At 41.1% G+C, this 24,112-nt stretch overlaps 1 protein-coding gene across 1 annotated transcript in view; it reads left to right on the forward strand.

Annotated features, from left to right (window-relative positions):
- The window catches only part of KCNB2 (potassium voltage-gated channel subfamily B member 2), a 401,125-nt gene that overhangs the window by 215,860 nt on the left and 161,153 nt on the right, over positions 1 to 24,112 (forward strand). The gene's annotated exons all lie outside the window — the stretch shown is intronic.

A 24,112-nucleotide genomic window follows, 5' to 3' on the forward strand; every position in this document is an offset into this window, starting at 1 on the left:
CTTCTTAAGACTGCTGTATTTTCTTCTTTTAGAGGTATCTGGATAGCAAACCTGGATCTTTGAATAGAGTTGAATAGATTTTTGTTGGTAGGAGTGGTGGTAAAAATCCATGTTTTCTTCAGAACATTAATTTTCATTCATTCATTGTTTCCTTTGACTTAAAGTCTTTAGTTCTGCTTACTAATGAGTTTACGTTGATACCACAATATGATATTAAATATGTGACATAACATCATAATGATCATTTTAGCAACATCAGTTTTATAATAGTACAATCGAACACATTTTTATTTAGCAACTCTTATGCCTGGCAATATAGTAGTGAATCAGGCAAGCGCAGTGTCTGCCTTGTTCAAGGAGCTTATAGTCTAGTCCAGAAGAGTCATTGAAAAAGTAGTTGCAGTTGGGTTGAGAGTTACACACTGGGAAGTACAGAATGCTATAGGAACCTGGAAGAAGAGGATGTAACCAATTGAGTAGCTTGTCAGTAGCGAACAGCTTTTATTTGACCCTCATATCAACTATGTGCAATAGGTTATCCCATTTTAAGTTTGAGAAAGCAGGCTCCATGAGCTTGATAGACTTGCCTTCATAGTTAATAAGTGTTCAGGACTAGAATCAAACCTTTTGTTCCAATCCCCAAGCTCTTTCCACTAAACCACTGCAGAATAGCAATCATGATTTAGAAGAAATTAATCCTAGGTATGGATAAAAGGGAGGATTAGTCACTAGCCAATCAAAAATTAGCCTTAGAAACTCTTCCTTTTTCCTCTCTAGTCATCCAACAGAACACACATTAAGCAATATGTTCTTGGTGATTTTCTGCTTATTTGAATCTGTGAGAACTGGGATCTGGAGTCCTGCAGCATTGCACCTGTTGGGTGAGGGGAGGCGCCTGCAGTTCAGGTACTGCCCATGTGGAGCCTGAGAACAGAGTCTCCCTGGGAAAGTACAAAGACAGATTGGCTCCTGGCAAGAGCTTGGCCTGGAACTCCCTTAAGACTCATCAAGCCCACTCTGAACTGGAGCTATCAAGTTTGAATAGATGCATGGAATCACTACTGGAGGACTCTGAAAAATAAATTGTAACAGGCCAATTGGGGAACAAGACCAGAACCTGAGGTACCACTATGGCAGTTTCTCATTTTCCTATGGAATTTCGCAGCCTGGAATCAAGGCAGCCCAAAGCCTGGAAGGGGACCTTGAGTATGGACAGAGAGAATGCCAGGAGAAGCCCCCTAGGTCTAACTCAAGACATGCAAAAGGGAAAACCAATGAAATTTTTTCCTCTCAATTATTTGCCTGAACTCCCAGACAGTTCCATTGCAGCAGCCACAACAGGAGTCTAGTCTGCAGGTCCCTAAAACCCTGAGGGAGGGGACCCTTCCATTGTAATTCAAGGAGCTGTAATCCCAAAAGGGTATGGAAGACCTACCACCTCTCTGCCCTCTTGCTTAGCCCTGAATGTAGGTGCAGTTGCAGCAGAGTTGTGGCTAGACCCCAGCTTTTCGGCTATCCAGAAGACAGAAAATGAATAATTTAGACTTGAGTAAAATTTATAACTGTTATCTTGCAGAAATACTGTTAAGAAAATAAAAAGACAAACTGTGGTCGAAAAGTAAATGTTTGCAATTCATATATCTGATGAAGGACTTGTGTGCTGAGCATATAAAGAACTCTTAAGACTCAGGAGTAAGTAAACACATTCAGTTGAAAAATCAGCAAATCAGAAGAATTCCATGAAATTTATATAAGTCCGCCCTCAAGGAGAGGGAGCAGAACTACCCACTCCTTGAGTGTAGGTTGTGCATAATGACTTCCTTCCAAAGAGTGCACTATGGAAAGGGGGAGGGATAACTTTACAATGGAGAAGCCTGACACACACCACCTGAGCCAGATGATCAAGGCCAACATCAACAGTTGGTAGAAGATACTCTTGGTAAGATATGATGGGAACGGCATTTTTCCTCTGTGGCCTTCCTCCCCCAAACCCACAATCTCAGTCTAATATTTAATTAGAAAAACATGAAACAGATTTCAATTGAGGGGTGTTCTATAAAATAACTGACCAGTACATCTTAAAATTATTACAGTCATCAAAAAAACAGGGACGTCTAAGTAACTGTCACAGCCAAGAGGCCTAAGGAGACATGATGACTAAAGGTACTGTGGTATCCTGGATGGGATGCTGCCACAGAAAAAGGACATTAGGTTAAAGGAAAGGAAATCTGAATTAAGTGTAGACTTTAGTTAATAATGATGCATCAACATTGCTTCATTAACTGGAACAAATGTACCATATTTTTTATGCAAGATGTTAATCACAGGGGAAACTGAAGACATGATGTAGGGGGACTCTACAATATATGCAAATTTCTTACAAATCTAAAACTGTTCTAAAAAATAAAGTTTATTTTCTAAAATTACATTAAAAGGCAAAAGAAATGGCAAACGATTTGACCAGACACTTCTTCAAGGAGGATATATGAATGGCAAATAAGCACATGAAAAACTGCCCAACACCTTTGCTCATTAGGGAAATGCAAGTTAAAACCACAATTAGATATTACTACACAATACCCGACAGTACACAATTCTAGAATCCAAGAGGTCTTAGTTGTCATTTGTACCCAGTGTGCTTACGAATGAAGGATTGCTGCTTGTTTTATAAGGCAACTGTTTTGGCTTTCTTAAGCCAAGAGAAACTTTCCATTCTTGAAAGTTCATTGACAAGGAAAACGGTTCCCCCACCGCACCCAACTCCCTACTCACTACAACACCTCCCTGTGTGCAGGACGGGTATAGGAACCGGTAGCATCTTCATCCTGCAGGGAGGCTGGCTGGGGAAGCTGTGTCCAGGAGTCCTGCCAGCTTGGGAAAGCTGGCTCCTGTAGCCCTCCTCAGCTGTACATATGATGCTGCTTTCTGGCCATGACTACCAGAAAAGGTCTGGATCTTCTCACAAGTGGATCAGTCGAGAAGTGGTCTGTATAAGCCTCATGTGCCAAGAAAAGCCCAGCTCATTGTAGTGGGAAGGACTCCTTGGGGTCCGCAGTCAGGAGCAGGCTCTGAAACACCTGGAAGCAGGTCACAGCCTTCCACGAAGCAGGAGCCCTGTGACACCACACAGGCTAGTGAGTTGCTAGGAGCAGTGGCTCCCTCTCACTTCCTGCCATTGCTGCTCTATCCCTCCCTTCCTGTCTCCCTATACCCTGTCCCATCACACTGCCCCAGTCCTCAGTTATCCTCCACTCTGAGTCTTACCTCTGTGATATCTTATACCAGTATCCTATGTCCTGTATATGAGCTTGGGTTTTATGTGACAGAGGTAGTGCAAAGACAGTGATTGGAACAACAGTTTAGACCCATGGTTCTTGACCTTGGCTACATACTTGAATCACCTATGGAGTTTTTAAAATTCCAATGCCTAGAACTGCCCTGGCTAATTATAACATATTTTGGGAAATTGGGAGCCAAGCATCAGTATTTTTCTAAAGCTTCCTAATTGATTCCAATGTTTGGCCAAGCTTAAAAAGCCACCGATTTAATCGAAAGCACAGTAGAGGAAAGTAGGGAAGTTATTGGTCTAGCTATAGCCTCTGACCCTTCTTACAGCTCAGTTGGAAAGTTCCTGCAGTAGGTCAGGTAAGAGGATAAGAACAGCAGTAGTGATGAAGAGGTGGGACAGCTTTGAGTGATCATGAAAGGTGGGGTCAGCAGACCAGAGCTTTCAGGAGTCATTGAATAGGGAGTCAAAGAGGGGTCTAGAGGAGGCCATACATTCAGATTTTATTAAATCAGTATAAGGAAGGCAGGAAGATGAGGAAAATAGTTTTGGTTGTGGACATGTTGGATGTCACATAATTCTGGAGCTATCCAGGTGGCATTGTCAGATGCTCAGAGGAGAGTTGGGCCAGAAATATAATTTGGAAATCATTGGCAGAGCATGATACTTAGAAGCTTGGGAGTCAATGAGATTATCTTAGGAGAGCAAGTGGAGTGGAAAGGACAGAACCTTGGGGAGCGCCAATGTGCTTAATGGGAGGGCAGAAGAAAAGCCAGCCAAGCAGACTGATAAAAAGAGAACCATGAGAACTGTCATGAAAGACAAAGGAGCAGACAGTTTCAGGAGGAGAACTCAGCAGGTCCAATGCTGCTGCTAGATCCAGTATGGTGTCTATTGAATTGGCAATGTGAAGGTCAATGGGGACTTACACTAGAGCATTTTAGCTGACCACAATGGGGTTGGAGAGGGAAATGAGGAAAGGGAGACAGCAAATACAGATTACTCTTCTGAAAAACATGGCTGTGAATGGAAAGAGAGATGCTCAGTGGTACCTGGAGGAAAAGGCAGAATTCAGGGAGGAATTTTCTTTATCTGGTGAATTTATAAGGTATAGGGAAAGAGATTGAAACTCTTACCAATAAAGAGATTGAAACTCCAAGAGAGAGATGGGTAATTGATACCTCAAGGATCCTTAGTGGGAGGGAGGGATAGGTATTTAGAGATAGTGGAACTTTGAGCACAAGGGACCCCTTTGTTTTATTTATTTTATGTGCGTGTGTGTGTGTGTGATCCTAGAGAAACAAAAAGGGTTTCTTGAGGGAAGATTATGGTATCAACACACTTTTATTTGAGCCTCCTTGTAGAAGGCCAGGGTTGGCACAATGGGGGCTGATGCTGAAGTTTGGGCACTGACAGCAAAGGAAAAGTGAGACTTTCAGTAACAGAGGAGCCAAGATGTGAGCACAAACCAAATCCCAAGAAGTGCTGAGCTTCAAAGTTGAGGAAGTCAAGAGTGGTCTTCAAGTTCAAAGGTTACAAGTGGGGCCAAGATTACGATACCAAGCCAAGGCCACATGCCCTGTGGGGTGTGCATGGCATGGCAGAGGGGAATCAAAGGCATAATAAGGAGACTCCTAGGAGCTGAGGCTTTGTTATTCATTACCTGGCCTGAAAGGAGAGCACAGGAAGTTGAGAGATTGCCCTCTGCAGAGTGGCTCTTTCTTTCTGCTCCGAACAAGGCAGGACTCATGGTGTCTGATGAGCAAAAGGGGGCAGGAGTTTGGTAAGGAGACTGCAGGAGAAAGGAACAGTTCTGGAACGGCCACTGAGAAGATTCGAAAAGGAAGTTGACCAAGGACAAATAAAAGAGTGGTCCAGCTGAAATTGGAGACTAGCAATATGTAGTGGCATTAGTCCTCATGGTTGAGTTATTGTCTCCATTTGCACTTGGCAGCCTAGGTGTAGCAGCAAACAAACAGCATTGTGAGATCCATCCTGCCAGGCAGGTGTGGCAAAGTCCAGGGTCCAGGCAGGCAAGGATGCTGGAAAAGACCAAGCCGAACAGGCTCAAAACAAATGTGTATAAACATAGATCTAAATATAGCCATGCACTTACATAGCTAATGAATGACTCACAATTATGAAAATTAATCCAAGCCTGTTTTTAGATGGCATTTTCTCACTTTTCTGAGAGTAAAATCTCCTGTTTGTTTTATTCAAGATGCTCATCTGCTCCATGTTTATTACACAAACCTCTGAGTCTTCATTTCCATTTTGAAAGGAGAATATTCTACTCTCTCTTCTCATTGTTGAACGGTTATCAGGCAGATAGCGAGGTAGCTGAAGTTCTAGCGGTACTTTTGCAGTGAGTACCTAATGCTTAAATAGTGATTTAATTGGCAGTCATTGAAAACTCAGGGCCCACAATTCTATATTTTTTGAAGAAAGAACATTGGTTATTTCCCATGGGCATTTCATTAATGGAGAAAAAACAGAACTCTGCTGACTAACCTGGTTTGACATTTACTTAAAATAAGCCAAGTGCTATTTATCTGGATTACCTTATTATATGCCCCAGCTCTGTTGGATAATTAAGGGACAGCTGGAGAATGAGGATAAAATCATGCCAATATTTTATAAGAAGAACTTTTAGGGCTCCTTTTCCTGTGTTTAATGAACTTAGTCTGAACTAATGAAAGTGTTATGTTGGGGCCACGGGGATAGAGTGGAGGCAGAGGGTAAGGTTGAACTCCCTCTTGTTTTAAAAAGAACCTTGCTTATTTTAATCAGTAAAAAAGAGGGATAGAGGGAAGGATGTGAATCTTTTCTGTTTTAATAGAAAAAAATTCGTTCTTGGCTCATTTATTCTACTTTATGATACTATATTACATAATAAAATACGGAAAATGAAACTCGCCCTGTGGAGAAAAGAATACCACCTCTCTATATTCATTGGAAATTAAGACATAAAATATCTTAATGGGAATTTATGATAAAAACCCCTGGGTAATCTGGGAAGAATCCTGCAAAGGATCATGCCTCCTATAGGCACTTGCTGTATGTTAATAGGTGGCCATCAGAATTAAAATTTGGTTCTCTGCTCCAACTCTGCTGCCTTCTTTCTCCTACCACTGTTACCCAAAATTATGCAACCACACTGTGCAAGGCTTGGAAAAGAACTTATATTCTCATCTTTTTGTGGGATGAATTAACCAAACTGCAACATGGCAGATCCAGAATGCTGTGATCCACACTAACCATTAAAAGTAATAGAAATCACCATTCCTGTACTTTGGAAGCAGTGATAACTAGGGCCTTGGAGATAGAGATAGAGATAGAGATAGAGAAGGTGATACAAGGTTCAGTCTGCCCCAGTTCTGAATGGCATCCTCATGGGTAAGGTGGCTCAGCAGGCAATCATCATTCATGGGAGGATTTATCAGGAACCCTTTTAGGATAAGCCCGTTATTCAAAGGCTAGGAGTGCTGACTGGATAGCTGAATGAGATGAGATCAGAGTCAAGGTCGGGACAAAGCCACCAGAATTCAGGTAAGGTAACCAGTGTCACTGGCAGAAGCAAGGAAACTCAGTGTGATTGGGGGTGTAGTGTCTAGAGTTTGGACAGCCTCTTCCTAAAACAAATAAATCAGTGGTCCACATAGTCAACCGAGATGCATGCTTTTACTTAGCCTTACTTTGTCCTTCTTTGGGGCTTTAAAAGATCCTTCTTACAAAAAGGAGACAAGTTGTTGTAAGGACAAGCCCAGATGTCATGGAAAGTCTACAGATTTGGAGCCAGATCAACCAAGGTGAACCTCAGCCTCAGCACTTGCTACTTTCATGGACTTAAGCAAGTTAACTGACCTCTCTGAGCTTCCATTCTCTTAACTTGGAAGTGAGGACAATAATAACTACCTATCAGGCTGCTGTGAGCATTCAGTGAGGTAATGTATGAGGTTTCTGGCACATAAGAGTGTCTTAATAAATATTTCTCTTTCCCATTCATGCATAGACATTCAAACAACTGAAATCATGTAGGCCAGTACTGAAGTCCCCCATTTTTCAAATGGGGCAGGTAAAACATTTTCTTGCCCAACACCTCAAACCATCATTCCCAAATTTGCTCCCTGGACCAGCAGCAACAGCATCACCTAGGCACTCAGGCCCCATCCCAGACCTACTAAATCAGAAACACATGAGATGGGATCCTATGTTTCACTAAGCCCTCCAGCTTATTTTGATACAAAATGAAATTTAAAAACTATTGTATGAAGGTAAATCAGATCAGTAACTCACAGTATATGACAGGTATGGAGCTCACAGGCCTCAGTTAGCAGCATATACTAAGTACAGCCTCATATTTACCTACTAAGATTGACTTGGTGTTGGCAGTACTTTACTTTGAGCTGCATGATCTTGGCCTCAAGTGGGGTCCACATCATCATGGTACCAAAGTCCTGGACTTGGGGAGAACAGTAATTTCCCAAATTATTTCTACTGTCAGACCATATGTTGGATCACGTATCTTAATCAGGTTTGAGAAACAGAGCTCATCACCTCCCTGCTGCATGAAGCACCATCACCTCCTCTTTCCCTTCTTCCCAGCTGTATTTGGTGACTGAATAGCAAGTGGTCACTGGGTAACTTGGGATGCTTTTGACTATTGTACAACCTCAGATTCTCAAAAACCATTATGACTATCAACAGCAGCAGCCCAGAGGGTAAGCTTCCAATTGTCCTTGATAGTTTAGCCTATGGGTTTAGGGAGCAAGGTCAGTCTGCAATATCTGACTTACATAGTCCAGAACAGAGGTGTACTCGGAGGAGATGCTGCCCCACTCTCTACCCTGCATCCATCCTGGGGGCCCTGCATTGGGTGCTGCCTCACTGTGGACTTTGAAATACTCTGCAGCAGGCGTCTGTCATGCTATGGGTTACCTGCACACCTGCTCCCTCTCTCTTCTAGTCCTTCCATGTGAGAGAAAAACAAAATACAGCCTTGAGCTTGAAACACATGCATTCACAAATGAGCCCCTTCCAACAATGCCTAAGGAGATTTGGGGAAAAAACCCAGCTCTTTCTCTCTTGTACACACTGTGGTTGCCAAAGGATAAGCATTGTTCTGTCAAGGTCCAACACTTGCTAGAGTGATTGCTGGAACCTTCAGGGAGGAGAGATTGTGTTTATAATGAGAGGAAAATGGATTAATCAAAACTCTAGCCTTCAGCTGTCAGCACTAGAATACAATATGTCAATTGGAATATGAGGTGGCTTTGACAAGAATACCATCTTGCTTGCTTTAGTCAATCCTATTTGGAGCAACCTGATCTAAGCAATGATTTTCTCTGCAGCAAATGAATGCATACCAACAAAATCCATTAGCTATGAAAGTTACGGCATTGATTTTAGAATAAAATACTGTTACAAAAAAAGGAAGTCATATTCTAATATCTCCACTGCTGACAGCCTGTACAAGTCTCAGGAGAGAGCTACTTGCAAAAGTATATCCCCTTCATAAGGCACAGATAACTTGTATATCTTAATCAATAGCCTATAGACTCTATAGTATAGTATAGAGTCTAGTCTATAAATAAGATCACTAGCAGTTAGATTTATGTTAGAAGTCTAAAACAAAAATTTGTTTTAAACTGGCATTACTTTTGGGGTTTAGAGATACTTGTATTTCTGTAAGTTCTTTATGAAATACATTGTACTACCTGCCAATGAGTTCAATCTGAGTAGCGCCACCCTCCTGCTCTAAACAAACATGCAACCATGTCACCGAATTTACATTAGAAACCCATTTCAAGTTACCACCTGCTTCGCAGCCAATGTGACTTTCTGCCAGTGTTCTGTGATCGATGGGGGATGTGCTGTGGATTTGAGGCTATAGCTTTAACATTTTCCAGGCATGAATGATACGACATCTGTACCTATTCCAGTATAAGCATATCAGCAATCTAAAAGGGATCTGCTGACATGTTTAGACAAATTGCCTTAATATTGCTGAAAGCAAAACTGAGAAGAAAATAATTTTTAATGGAATTTCACTTAGAATCCATCCCATCTGAGTTCTCCTCCACGCTTAACATCTCCATTACTCAAATATGTGGTTGAATCACTGAAGTCCTGTACTGCTTGGCACAGTTTAGGTGCTCAACATTGTGTCCTGGGTACACAATGTCTTCACACCACCTTGGGCCTTACTCTATCTGATAAGGGATGCATCCCTTGATTTCTTCATATGTAAAGTGAGGATATACATTATTCATATCCATTCATAGGGATTTCAGAGGATTCAATGAAATAATAATATATCAGGGAGCTTGCCTATAGAAAGTGTTCAGTAAATGTTAGCTCTTATTATTCTGTGTATGCCGATCTGTTCCAAGAAGCCTAAAGCTCAATAATTTGATGTTTCTGTTTCTCCATTTGAGCACTGAAAAGCTGACTTTGTTTCCTAGTAGCTAAGGAAAAAACAGAACAAAGCAAAAAGTAAATCATATTAACAAATATATATATATATATATATATAGTGTGCAAATACTCATAAACATACATACATACAATAAGTGAATTTTTCATTTTAATGGCAAAATAAGGCATATGTATGTATATAGGCAGAAAAATCCTTTCTTTGAATTAAGTTATCTTCAACGAGAACTTTGCAAAGTAAAAAAAAAAAAAAAACAGAAAAAGAAATGCTTTTAAACAAACTGTTCTTGGGTCATTTCTATCCTAAAGCTGAGGAACTGATATCAGGTAGTAACTGAGAAAGGGCTTCTCTCTAGAGTTTTTCTCACTAATGATGTATGTTAGCTCGAGGGTAGAACCTGAAGACTCTGGAGCAGTGCACATAGCTCACCCGCACCACTTGGGTATTTCACTAAGGTGCAGATTCCTAGGCCCAACTGACACCTAAGAAATCTGAATTTCCAGGGAATCCTGAGTCTCCTTTTTTTTTAACTCCCCCTCCTCCCCAAGGCAATTACAACAAGCACCGAAGTATCAGAACCACTGATTTTTTGCTATCTCTGGCTACATGTTGACAGATATGCTTTTGAAAAATCCAGTGTCTAGATGGGCATCGGACAGATGCTGGATCCTCTAAAACTGAGATGGAGCTAAATGGGGGGTTGGAGCAGTTAATGAATTGGAGAGCCATTTGCTGAAACACAAAACCCAAGGAGAGAGGCACCATTTGGTTGTGATTATTTAAAACCCAGACTTCAATGTCTCAAAAATAATTTAGCATGGACATTGGAAACTGAGTGTCTGTGGGTAAAGCCAATAGTTTCCATTGATAAAAACAGAATTCTTTAAACGATTACTCAAATATGTGGTTGAATCACTGAAGTCCTGTACTGCTTGGCACAGTTTAGGTGCTCAATATGATAAAAGACTAAATACCAAGAAGAATGTATTATAAGCTTAAACAATAAGTATTATTGTAAAGGCCTATGTGCCACACTGTTGGAAAACAGAAACAGAAGGTTTCCCAGAGGAGGAGACCCTGGGGAAGGAGCTGGGCTTTGGTAGGAAGGTGGAGGAGAAGCAGCATCCGAGGCAGAGCAAACAGAATATACAAGGCACAGGCACAGCAGAGACCTTGTCTTGTTCAGGAATTACAAGTAGTTCTCCATGCCAGGAGTCCCATAGTCCCACAGAGAAAGCCACAGAAACCAGGGCCAGTAACCAACAACCACTGAGATCCTGGAATATGATTTCAGGGGTGAAAGTGGAAAGGAGGACTCAGCTAGATGCCAATGACCTTAAGGAAAGAGGCGCAGTGCCCTGAGAGTTGGCAGAGCACAGTGACGGAGAAAGGCAGGATGGATAAGATGACTTTCACTGCTGGATGATAGGCAACCAGCACCTGACTGGAGCAGATATGGGAGAATGTGCCACCTTTATTCAAGATTTGGCAAATAACAGAATGAGGGCCTGCAGAAGGTAAGGAGGTGGAGACAACACCTCACAAAGAGGTTGGAGATGTAAGGGAACTGTATTCCAAAGGACACAGTAGAAATGGCCAAGGAGGGGACCCTAGGGGTTGGAAGAGCTGAAAGAGGGATAAAACACACAGGGCTCATGGTTCTATCAACTAGTGTGATGGTCAGGAAGGACAGCCATGGGAAACAGGCAGTGCCATCCACTTGGCATCCAGTTCTAAGTAGAGTCTATCCTGGGCCCCAAATTGCCTTTTGGACAGTTGATGTACACAGTGTACCTCTAGTGTACCTCACACAGTGAGTAAGGCCCCTTGTTTTGACCATCATATATAGTCTTATATTCCATTTGCCTATGTTCTTTCTTAGTAAAGAAAACAGGCAATAGTAATCATCACAGAATAATCCTACCCAATTCCTGATTGCTTATGCACATATTTAGGAGAGTACGTTCTCAAATTTATCAAGAGAAAATGAGCACTAAGAGGCTGGCTTGTTTTCAGTGCTTTTCCACTCAACGGAAGCATAGACCAGAATTAGTGTCTATTCTGGGCAAAATATATCTGCCAAATTCACAAGGAGAAATTCCCTGACAGGAGATGACAGGAGTACCCCCGCCCAGCACAGAGTACGAACTGGCTATGACAAATATTCTTTTAAGTTGATGAAGTTAGTGGTTCTCAATTGCAGAATATCCCAGGAATCTATAAAATAGGAAGAGACTGACATAACTCTGTTTAATTGTGAGGAATTTTAGGTCTAGTCATCAGCAAACCTTGTTTCTGGATCCCAGTTGCCTGAACTACACTGCAGGAAATGATGCCCTAAACTTTCACTCATTATTCCCCACAGCCAAGCTGAGCCCCAGCAATTAGGATGGACTCTCACCCAGAGTTGTCTGTCAACAGTTTCCTCCTATTGGGGAGATAATTGCTGGGAAAAGTCCCTAAACCTGTGAAGCCTTCAGATGGAATTATCTGACTTCCATTTGTGTGCTGTGTTGATAAATATGCCATTAGTTTCACCACCACTATCTTTTCTGGCAAACCTTATTAACCCAAATTTAATGGCAATTCTCTGCTAATTTCAGTCAGTCTCCTTTGTGCTCAGATGTAGTTAAAAGGAATATTTCTCCCCAAACCACAGTGAGTGTAGTCATATCCAAATCTTTATCTCTGAGAGGCTCCTCAGTTTTAACCTCTTTCACAAAAATATCACAAATTTAAATTGTGTGTGTTGTCAGCAATTTTGAGGGTCAGAATAAGTTTAATGGAAAATAGTCACTTTCAAGATGATTGGGACCTCTATCTGTAGAGCTGAGATAAGCACAGACAAGCTGATTATCAAATAATCAATATACTGATTAGTTTATTTAAAACACATAGGTAATGAATGCTATAGTGGTTCTCGAACTGCAGCATGCATCAGAATCACCGTGGAGGACTTGTTAAGACACTAATTGGTGGGCCATAGCCCCAGACTTTCTAATTCACTGGATCTGGGATGGGGCCCAAATATTTAAATTTTTAACGCATTACAAAGTGATGTTGATTGCTGCTGCCCTGGAAACCAGGCTGTGAGAACTTCTCTTTTATCCCAACAACTATTAATATCATTTTAAAATTGTAGTTTTTGGTGATAAATTGATAGAGACAGATATTTTTCTCTTTCATTCTTAATGCTGCTTCTCAAAGAATGGCATAGGGCCAAATACACCCAACTCACCTGGATGCTTGTGCACAATGAGAGGGGTCTATCTCAGATCTATGAATCTGAGGCCTTGAGTGATGAACAAGCTTCCTAGGGACACCTTTGAACTGCCCTGTGATGCTTATTCTCAAGCCTTGGCTCCCTGTTGGAATCACTTGAAGAGCTTTAAAGAACACAGATTCCCAGGTTTCAGCTACAGAGATGGTGATATAATTGATTTAAGTGCAACCTGGACATATTGTGTAAAAGCTTCCCAGAGATTCTCACATCCAGCCAAAGAATCACTGCTCTGAAAGGATAGCCTATGAACAAACTCTTCCCAATTTCTTCTTTCTTAAACTATGTTCCACAAGAGAATTTGTGGTCCACCAGATGTTTATAAGTGGATTTTTCTAATCTAACACAGCCAAGAAATACTGGGTTAAACAAAGTTACTAGGTTGTTTGACACCAAGATGCCTCAGGGTCCTTAATATATTTCTTCACATCACAATTTTTTCCTGTGAGATTTCCCAAACAGTTTCACCAGGGAACACTTTTTCTAAGAGCACTTTCTTGAGTGAATTTCAGAGAACCCCATAAAATTGTGTGTATGCTTATATGTGAATGTATTAACGCGTGCACTTATGTTTTCTGGAAAGAAACATATTCATCAGATTTTGCAACCAGCTCTGAATATGATCCATAGATACCTAGGAAATACTCACCTAGACTGTCAGATCCATTTGGAGTGCTAAGAAGATCTATAAGGAGTATATAAAGGAAACAGAATTATTCCTTCATTGTCTGAGACATGTATTAGTCCATTTTCATGCCATTGATAAAGATATACCCAAGACTGGGAAGAAAAAGAGGTTTAATTGGACTTACAGTTCCGCATGACTAGGGAGGCCTCAGAATCATGGCAGGAGGTGGGAAGCGAAAGGCACTTCTTACATGGCAGCAGCAAGAGAAAAAAAATGAGGAAGAAGCAAAAGCGGAAACCCCTGATAAACTCATCAGATCTCATGAGACTTATTCACTATCACGAGAATAGCATGGGAAAAACCAGCACCCATGATTCAATTACCTCCCCCTGGGTCCCTCCCACAACATGTGGGAATTCTGGGAGATACAATTCAAGTTGAGATTTGGGTGGGGACACAGCCAAACCATATCACATGGTATATCCACCAGGTTATCTTTACACTAATACGTGCTAGTTCCTTTCTTTCTTTTTTTAATATCTTTATTGATATAGTATTTACTATAAAATTCACTTATTTAATGCATACAATGTAATTGTTATAGTATATTCACCAAGTTGCACACTCATCACCACAATGTAAGTTCACAACATTTTTGTTCCCCAAACAGAAATCCCATGCTTATTAAAGAGTCACCTCATCCTCTCTCCCTCCCCAGCACTAGGTGACCACTAATCTGTTTCATATAAATGGAATCATACAATATGTGATCTTTTGTGACTGGTTTCTTTCACTCAGTATAATGTTTTTAAGGTTCATCCATATTATAACATGTGTCACTACTTCATTTCTTTTTATTGTTGAATAACGTTTTATGGTATGGTTATACTACATCTTATTTATCCATTCATCCATTGATGGGCATTTGGATTGTTTCCACATTGAGGCTATTATGAATAACACTGCTATGAACATTCATGTATGAGTTTTTGTGTGGATATGTGTTTTCAGTTCTCTAGGAGTGGAATTACTAGGTCACATGGCAACCCCATGTTTAACATTTTGAGGAACTGACAAATTGTTTTCCAAAATGCCTGCATAATTTTGCATTCCCACCAGCAATGAAAGAGGGTTTCAGTTTCTCCACACCCTTGCCAACTCTTGTTAGTATTTGTCTTTTTTATTATAGCCATCCTCCTGGGTATGCAGAGGTATCTCATTGTGATTTCTATTTGCATTTCCCTAAGGGTTAATGATGTTTTACATCGTTTCATGTGTTTATTGGCCTTTGTATATTTCCTTTGGAGAAAAGTGTATTCAAATCCTTTGCTTATTGTTAATTGTATTTAACTTTTTATTATTGGGTTGTAAGACTTCTTTATATATTCTGGATAGAAATCCTTTATGAGATTATGTTGTTCAAATATTTCATATTTCATCCTATTTTGTGTGTTGTCTTTTCACCTTTGTGTGTGTGTTTGTGACTGAGTCTCACCCTGTTGCCCAGGCTGGAGTGCAGTGGCATGATCTCAGCTCACTTCAACCTCCATCTCCCAGGCTCAAGCAATCCTGCCTCACCCTCCTGAGTAGCTGGGACTACAGGCATGCACCACCATTGCCCAGCTAATTTTTGTATTTTTAGTAGAGATGTTGTTTTGCCATGTTGCCCAGGCTGGTCTCGAACTCCTGACCTCAAGTGATCTGCCCACCTCTGCCTCCCAAAGTGCTGGGAATACAGGCGTGAGCTACCGGGCCCAGCCATCTTTTCACTTTCTTAGTGTAATTTTTTTTTTGGTGCTGTATTATATGCAGCACAAAAGCTTTTTTCATTTTGCTATAGTCCCAGTCCAATTTATCCTTTTTTTGTTGTTGTTGCTTGTACTTTTTGGTGTCATAGGTAGAAAATCATTAGAAATCATTCTAATCCAAGATCATGAAGCTTTATGCCTGGTTTTTTTCCTAAGAATTTTATAGTGTATCTCTCACACTTATTCTATGATTGATTTGGGGGTTAATTTTTATGTATAGCATAAGGAAGGAGCTGAACCTCATTCTTTTGCAAGTGGACATCCAGTTGTCCTAGCACCATTTGTTGAAAACACTATTTTTCCCCCCATTAAATTGTCTTGGCACCCTCCTCATTCTTTTGAAAATTAAGTGACATGGCCTGGCACGGTGGCTTATGCCTGTAATCCCAGCACTTTGGGAGGCCAAGGTGGGCAGATCACCTGAGGTTGGGAGTTCAAGACCAGCCTGACCAACATGGAGAAACCCCGTCTCTACTAAAAACACAAAATTAGCCAGGCGTGGTGGCACATGCCTGTAATCCCAGCTGCTCGGGAGGCTGAGGCAGGAGAATTGCTTGAACCCAGGAGGCGGAGGTTGCAGTGAGCCGAGATCGTGCCATTGCACTCCAGCCTGGGCAACAAGAGTGAAACCCTGTCTCAAAAAAAGAGAAAGAAAAAAAAGAAAATTAAGTGACATAAAAAGACAAAATAGTAATATTTTCATTGATTAAAAGATTCACTGCAAACTAGATAAGGTGGATATGTATGCTGGACACTGTTAACATCCTAGAGTAGTTTAAGAGCCTAATTCAGCCTCTATTGGACACTGATCAAGTAGTTCCTGTGTTCTGGATTCTAGGCTAGAAAGGTGAATTAACCATAATTTCTATCCAGTCTCTCAGTCAGATAAACAAACAAAAAAAATTGCACTATAGCAAATGTTCTAATAGAGATATGCACAGACAAAACTGAAACATATTAGTAGTCCAGTGATTAATTCTGCCAGGGGTGCAATTTGAGCTCAGCTTGGAAGGTGGGAAAGACACTTCTGAGAGAAGGAAATGGCAGTGGAATGGAGGGAAGCGACCCTCAGGGAGTTCCACTGGACTGGAGGCTTGGAGAGTGAGTGGATGGTGTAAAGTGTTTGGAGAAGAGACAGACAGGCAATCGGATTGGAAAGAGCTCTGCATGCCTCCTGTGGAGTTTAGGCCCCATTCTATGGGCAAGAGGAAGCCACTGAAGGACCATAGGGAAGGAGTGGTTTTGTGAATTTCTGGGAGGTTGCTAAGCCCTCTTTGGACATCTGGCTTTGGCAAGAAGTGATCCCAGATCTAGCATCACTGACCAAGAATCATAGAACTTTCATTGTTTCCAACCCATATTTATGGTTTGGTGTCAGGTGTTAATATGTTACCCCTTAGGAAATCTTCCACCCTAAGGATCCCAATCACAGCTCAAGCTTCCTTCATTATACAGAGCCCTGATAAAACCAAAGCCTGGGGAAGATAAAAGAATCACTTCTCATCAGAGGCCAACCAACTCTCATCAATTGGAGAGTCAGTCCCCATATTAGTTATTCTTTGTAGAAGGGAATAACAGCCCTTCAAACTATAGGAGCACCATAGCTCCAGAAATCCACAGCTTATGCCTATAGCTACAGCAACTAAAAAATATGCCTTCATCAGCAGTCATGGGATAGCCCAGAAAACAATAAAAAGTGTTTTTCTTGTGCAGATGGAGTCAGCACACAGACACCTACCTGTAATTCTCTATACCCCATGTGCCATCTGTGTCCCCAAAGACTGTAATGGTATTGGATGATTTCTATTATTAAGACATAGGTTTTGTGTGTGTGCTTAATTGAGAAGACCTCTTAAGGAAACAATTTATAAGGTCCAATCTGAGCTCCAAGGAGGAAAGTCCAAGTGCTGTTGTTCATAAAACAGAGTAAGAAAATGTCCCTAAACATTGCAAGAGAGAAATACAGTCTTCAAAATTAGCAGTGAGGAGGGTAGCATAGCAGTGAAGTATTGGAGCATGGTCATGCTATATAAATTTAAACTTGGTGTTTGTCACTTACCGGCTATATAATCTAGGGCAAGTTACTTCCTAGGCAACATTTCCTTGATCTCTAAAATAAGAAATAATAATGACACCTATCTCATAAAGCTGTTGTGGGGATTAAATGGAATAATCCATGTAAAAGGCTTTGCTACCCAGCACAAATTAAGTGCTCAATAAATGATCACTATTATTATTACTAGGACAAAGAGAGTTTGTGTTTTCACTTCAGAAATCAATATAGATGCAGTATACTGCAAATAATTATGTGTATTCATTGTGTATAAAAGCTTCAGAACTGAGTCGATAGCCAAACCACACAGCTATGCACATTCACCTTAAGCAACATACATTAACTTCTGGGCAAATTGCACTGTTCTTGTATTGCTCCAAATGATATTTTAAAAACATTCCATTGTGATAGGAACTCAGCTACATTTGTGTATGATTATTTATGTATTGTCGCAGAAAAAAGCTCCCAGCTATTGGCTAAGAAACATGACCTGGAGTAGCTCAAGCTGAAGTCTGTGGTTTCTCCAGAAAAATCATCTGAGGTTGCAATTACTACACCAGATATGGATGTAATCTGTATAATTAAGGAAGGGATACATTAACCAAAAAGTTGTGATGATAAAAAGGAGGAAGATGATATGTAATTAACCTTTTCAACAGTTAACATCAGCGGTTACCTAAGCCTCCTTTCACAGAACTGCTCATTTGAAAAGCAGGGAGTTTTGCTGTGGCATTTTCTTAAATATTTAATTTGCCTGCCTGCAGATAAAGTGATTTCCTTTTTATATATTTTTTATTTCAGCTATGGAGTTCTGCTTTCATCACATCAACTTTCAAAATTGTATTTTATTAAATGAATTGATTTTGAAAGGAGCTGATTATTCTCTGGATTCTTTAAATAGAAACTCATATCTGATAAATATTAATTACGGTGAGGTCAGCCTACTGTTTTTATATTAGGTTGGTGCAAAAGTAATTGCAGTTTTGCCATTAATTTCATTAAATAATAAGTTTGAGAAGGGGAATTTTAGGTTCTGTGATAGCCAAGTCTCATTGAGTAGGTGACAGGCCAGGCAAGGAGCAAGTAGGCGCAGAGACCAAGGAAACCTCTGGGATCAGACAAGTGCAAGCAGAGGGTGTCAGAAGATTTGGTATGAGGGAAGTCTTGCCAGGGTCAAAAGCCAGGTATTCAAGGAGCTGGAAAGAGCAGACCTTTTGATATAATATTATAAAAAGAAAGCCCAGGCCTTGAAATTTGAGAGGTAAGCATGTTTATTCAGTCATCATAGGGTCTTCAGGAAGGCCTAGGAGCGGGAAATGAAGGAGATATCCTCAGCACAGATTAGTTAGTATCAAGAAGATTCCATGGAAAGCCACAGAGTGCTGGCCCAGAGGACTAGTAGGTGGGACTCAGGACTTCAGTTGCTGAAGGAGTCAGGAAGAAAGCTAAGACCACAGTTGGTGATGAACCCACCAAAACACCAGTTAGGAAGCCAGCAGAGGAACACAGGGACACGGGATGGAGAGGAGGCAAGAGCCAGGCACAGTGGATCAAAGGCAGAGCAGTCTAAGTTGCAAGGCTGATTCTTCAGCCAGAGGCATTGGCTGGAGGACCCTGAGCAGGGTCACATTATCCTCGATATACAGCAGGTCGTACCCACAGGCGTGAGTTAAGCCACAGTTGTCCAAACTCAGCACTACTCCATTTTGGACCAGATAATTCTTTGTTGTGGGGGCTTTCCTGTACATCATAGGCTGCAGCATCCCTGGCCTCCAGCCATTAGCATCCAGTCATGACAATCAAATTGTCTCCAATTGGTTAAATCAGTCATTGCTAAATATCCTCTGGCGGGCAAAATTTCCCCTGATTGAGAACCACTGGGTTAAGGGGGTAGCTCCCTGAGTTTGAGGAATCCCGAGATGAAAAGCCAAGTATAGGATTAGGCATTCAGAGCTTCTGTTTTGCTGTTGTTGCTGATTAAATTTGTCTTCCCCACCCTTTCTATTTGGACTTCCCAGAAGACCTTCTTATTCTTAAGCACCAGGTCTTTTCTGGTCATGTTTGTCATTTTTCTAGACTCCTCTGTAGTGTGGTGGTAGGAAATATCTACAGTATTCAGTGTTTTCCCTGAAACAGTTATATACCTACATGTGATTTACAAGGTGATGGTTACAAAATACACCGGTCTGTCCATTTCACATAAATACCTGGATGAAAGATGTTCTGTTCCAAAGCATCAGTGGCACTATGCAAACACAAGTATGACCTGTGGGGAACTCCATTTTAGGTTAGGTGGCTCTGCAATACTGGTTTCCAGTCAATGCCTGTCTCTGAGATGTCAGCTAAGGCATTCTAAAGCCCTTAGGCACAAAAATATCCCTCTTGCTGGCTAGTCATTAATGCTTAAAATGGCCAAGGGTCAGGTGGCAATGGTGACAAGTCCAGCTCACCCTGCCCAGTAGGGGGAATTTTTCATAATAATCCTCCTCTTTAGTCCATCCTCTCAATTGGCCAGAATCTAATCTGGAAGAGTGACACATAAGATCTTAACAGCATTAGCATCTTTCTTGGCCCGGTCATGTTCTAGACAGCACTGCTTAGCATCTGTCGTGTGAATTATTTGATAGATGAGAATCAGTCACTCAGCTGCCTCCCTGCTAAGCTGCACGTCATGAAAACTCACCCAGCCTGCTTTGTATTGCCCAGGTCTGCCAACTACTCATATGTCTTCCCCCATGTGGTGAAAACAGGTTGAGTTTTTTTTAAGGTGGAAGAAAGCAGACTCTAATCCAGTCATGTCAATACTAATAGATTGTCAGAGATCTACATGCAATCCCATAGAAAGCCCTGTAGAGGCTGTGTGGGTCTCCTGAGGAGAACATGACTCAAATTTGACCATTCAATTATTCCTTCATCCTCTTACTAACATAGATTACATTAGGCTGGCTCCAGAATTTCTCCATGGTGGGAGGGAGATAGTAGAGGTTTTGCTCAGATTATTTTTGGTGTGGGATAGATTTAAGGGTACTGATAGAAATTGTGGGGAGGGGCCTAAAGTCTGCCCAAGCTGTTTTTGGCTGTATTAAATTTTATTACTAAAGTATTATCTGTGATGTTAAGTAAAATCTTTCAACTTATCAAATATTTTGAGCTGGTCAGGTTTTATTTTCCTAGAGTTCATTTACCTTCACAATTAATTTTGTACCTAAGAACTTTCAGACTTAAACTATAGAACTATGTGCTAAAATATTTGTATGCAACTACAAGTTGCTCATTCATTGTAAGGTCTGAGCTGTGGTTGATATGAGATATAATAATTAGTGAGAAATTCAAGAACCTAGAGTGAAAGTCCTGTGAACTCAGATTCTTAAAAAGAGTATCATTCAAGTCAAGTTATTAATTATACTACATAGTAACAATAATAACAATAATTTTAAAATATCAAGGGCTTATTATATGCTACTGGACCAAGGGCTTTTACATGCATTTCTCATTAAATCCATTATAACCCTTTGAGATTGTTACTGTTATTAACCCCATTGTATAATAAGGAAACTGAGGCACAGAAAGTAACTTGCCTATGATGAGTCATGGGGTTAGTGGGTGGCTTAAATGCTAGCCAAGTATTGAAGCCCAGGCAACCTGACTTCAGAGTCTGAACCATCCTGATTATACCATTCTGCCCATTTTTCTTATAAATGAACCAAAGGAGAATATTTCTACAGTTTTACTTCCCACCCTTTTAAAAATATTTTGTCATCTTCTGTCATCTTAATTATTATTATTATTTTTTGAGACAGAGTCTTCCTTTGTCACCCAGGCTGGAGTGCAGTGGCGCAATCTCGGCTCACTGCAAACTCCGCCTCCCAGGTTCAAGCAGTTCTCCTGCCTCAGCCTCCTGAGTAGCTGGATTACAAGTGTGTGCCACTACGCCTGGCTAATTTTTGTATTTTTAGTAGAGACGGAGTTTCCACATGTTGGCCAGACTGGTCTCAACCTCCTGATCTCAAGTGATCCCCCACCTTGGCCTCCCAAAGTGCTGGGATTACAGGCATGAACCACCGCACCCAGCCCTGTCATCTTAATTATATATACACATATATAAAATTTACATATATAAAAATTATATTGATCAAAACATAAATAAGAATTCTCATGTCCTACTATAAATTTATATTACCCTGAGTTATATACACTGCAATATGTTTAGATCAGTAACTACAAATAAAATAATGTGAGGATCTAGTATTAATTCCAGTGCCTCCTATTTAGAGACCTGCTAGAATTCTTTATCCGTGTAGCTCAGGAATGAAATCTCCTGGGCTCCAGAGACAGACAGCAACCCAACCCGGTTTGCATTACAAAGAGAAAGGAGAGCAGCCCATTAACAATTGGCCAGGTAAGAAGCATTTAAGCAGCTGAGATCAGGATGTGAGAGAGGTGTCAAGGGACCAGAGAAGTCACAGCTCATCCCTGATGCCAACACCAAAGGAATTCTTGACACAGACCACACCTCACTAGCTCCTCACCTTCCCCCTCCCATGGCCTCTGAGGCAGAGGAAGGACAGTGAGACCAGCTCTGCCCTTCCGGTCAGGGCCTTCCACAGCCTGCAGTCCTTCCCTGGAACAGACAGTGACTGAAAAACCCAACCACCCAGGGGCTAGCCCAGCCCACATCTGGAGGTGGTGGTGGACCCCAAAGAGAAGGAGAAAGAGCAGGTAAAGTCAAGCAACACTGACATTCTAATTTTTAAAAATACTGTGCCTGCAGAGCAAAGCCATCTGCGGCCAGATTGTGGACCCAGGCTGCCAATTTTGAGCCCTGTTAGAACATCGCAGAATGAGAAGGCCCAAGGAATTCCTTCAGAATAGAGAACAGTTTGACCTAAGAGGAACTGTGGCGTTCCCTTCAATAATAAGATGTGTGCGCGTATTTTTTAAAAGCGTGTTCTGTATTCTCCCTTTAAGTAAATATATATTTTAAAAACACAGATGCGTGACTTGACTTCGTGACTCACAGTAAACAATCCAATGGCAACACCCCTCAGCCTTGGAGCAACAGCAGAGAAGCACTTTGCCTCCTGACCCTCCCCCCTTCCAGCCTTCTATTATAAACAGGGGAGATTAAGTGGCTATATGAATGAGCTTTAAAAAAAAAAAAAAATGACCCACAGGTAAGAATAGCCAGGTAGGCCACATTTTTGGGTTACAAAATCTTAGGCTGTGCCTTTCTTTAAAAATCATAACCATTGTGGAAGACAGTGTGGTGATTCCTCAAGGATCTAGAACTGGAAATACCATTTGACCCAGCCATCCCATTACTGGGTATATACCCAAACGATTATAAATCATGCTGCTATGAAGACACATGCACACATATGTTCATTGCGGCACTATTCACAATAGCAAAGACTTGGAACCAACCTAAATGTCCATCAGTGATAGACTGGATTAAGAAAATGTGGCACATATACACCATGGAATACTATGCAGCCATAAAAAAGGATGAGTTTATGTCCTTTGTAGGGACATGGATGAAGCTGGAAACCATCATTCTCAGCAAACTATCGCAGGGACAAAAAACCAAACACCGCATGTTCTCACTCATAGGTGGGAATTGAACAATGAGAACACTTGGACACAGGAAGGGGAATATCACACACCAGGGCCTGTCGTGGGGTGGGGGGAGGGAGGAGGGATAGCATTAGGAGATATACCTAGTGTAAATGATGAGTTAATGGGTGCAGCACACCAACGTGGCACATGTATACATATGTAACAAACCTGCACATTGTGCACATGTACCCTAGAACTTAAAGTATAATTTTTAAAAAATCATTTGATTATTTCCTGTGTTTTTAAAAACACATTGCTCTTTATTTATCCTCCTGTTCTAATTTACATATGTTTGGTTTGTGTGGGCATTGGGATCTCAAGAGGATGCTATCAACTCTGCTGGTGAGTATTTTTGGCGCTTTCAGTGTGGGATTTCTTGTTCACAGCATCTTATTTGTGTTTCTATGATTGCTGCTAACAAGTCTCCTTTACACACATATGTGGGGTAGGGACTTGAGGGCTAGGCCTGAGGCAGATGAATCTTTAACATGGCCAAGAAAAGGGTGTAGGGTGACGGTTATGACACACACGTTCGGAGATCGGCATGCAGTATCCAGGTGCTGTGAATCAGTTAGTTGTAGGTTGTGGCATCTCCTTGACCATCTCCGGAGCAAAGGTCTTTAGGGAGAGAGGAGACCTTGCTGCCTGCTGAATCAGCTGAGCAACGTTGGACCTAAGCTCTCCACCTTTGATTGGAAAATGAGAGGGTTCAATGACTTTTGAGGTTCCTTCCAGTTTGACATTCTAGGACTTTATGATTCATTACTGTATTCTTTTATCTAGTGCTATATGATGATTTAAATGGAATAGTCCCCCAGAAAATACACAGGAAATGTAGGCATCATCTTAAAGCAAAGAAGATGAATTTCTTTATTTAATTTAATCCACATTGCACCAAGACTTTAAAAATTCTCATGTGACTTAATTTAAGCAGTATCTTCTCTCTTCCTCTTTTTGTAGTGTACTGATATACCAATGAATCAAGTGTCTAGAGGTGAAATAGTG

The sequence above is a fragment of the Homo sapiens genome, chromosome 8 (genome assembly GCF_000001405.40).
Source record: "Homo sapiens chromosome 8, GRCh38.p14 Primary Assembly".
Lineage (NCBI taxonomy): Eukaryota > Metazoa > Chordata > Mammalia > Primates > Hominidae > Homo > Homo sapiens.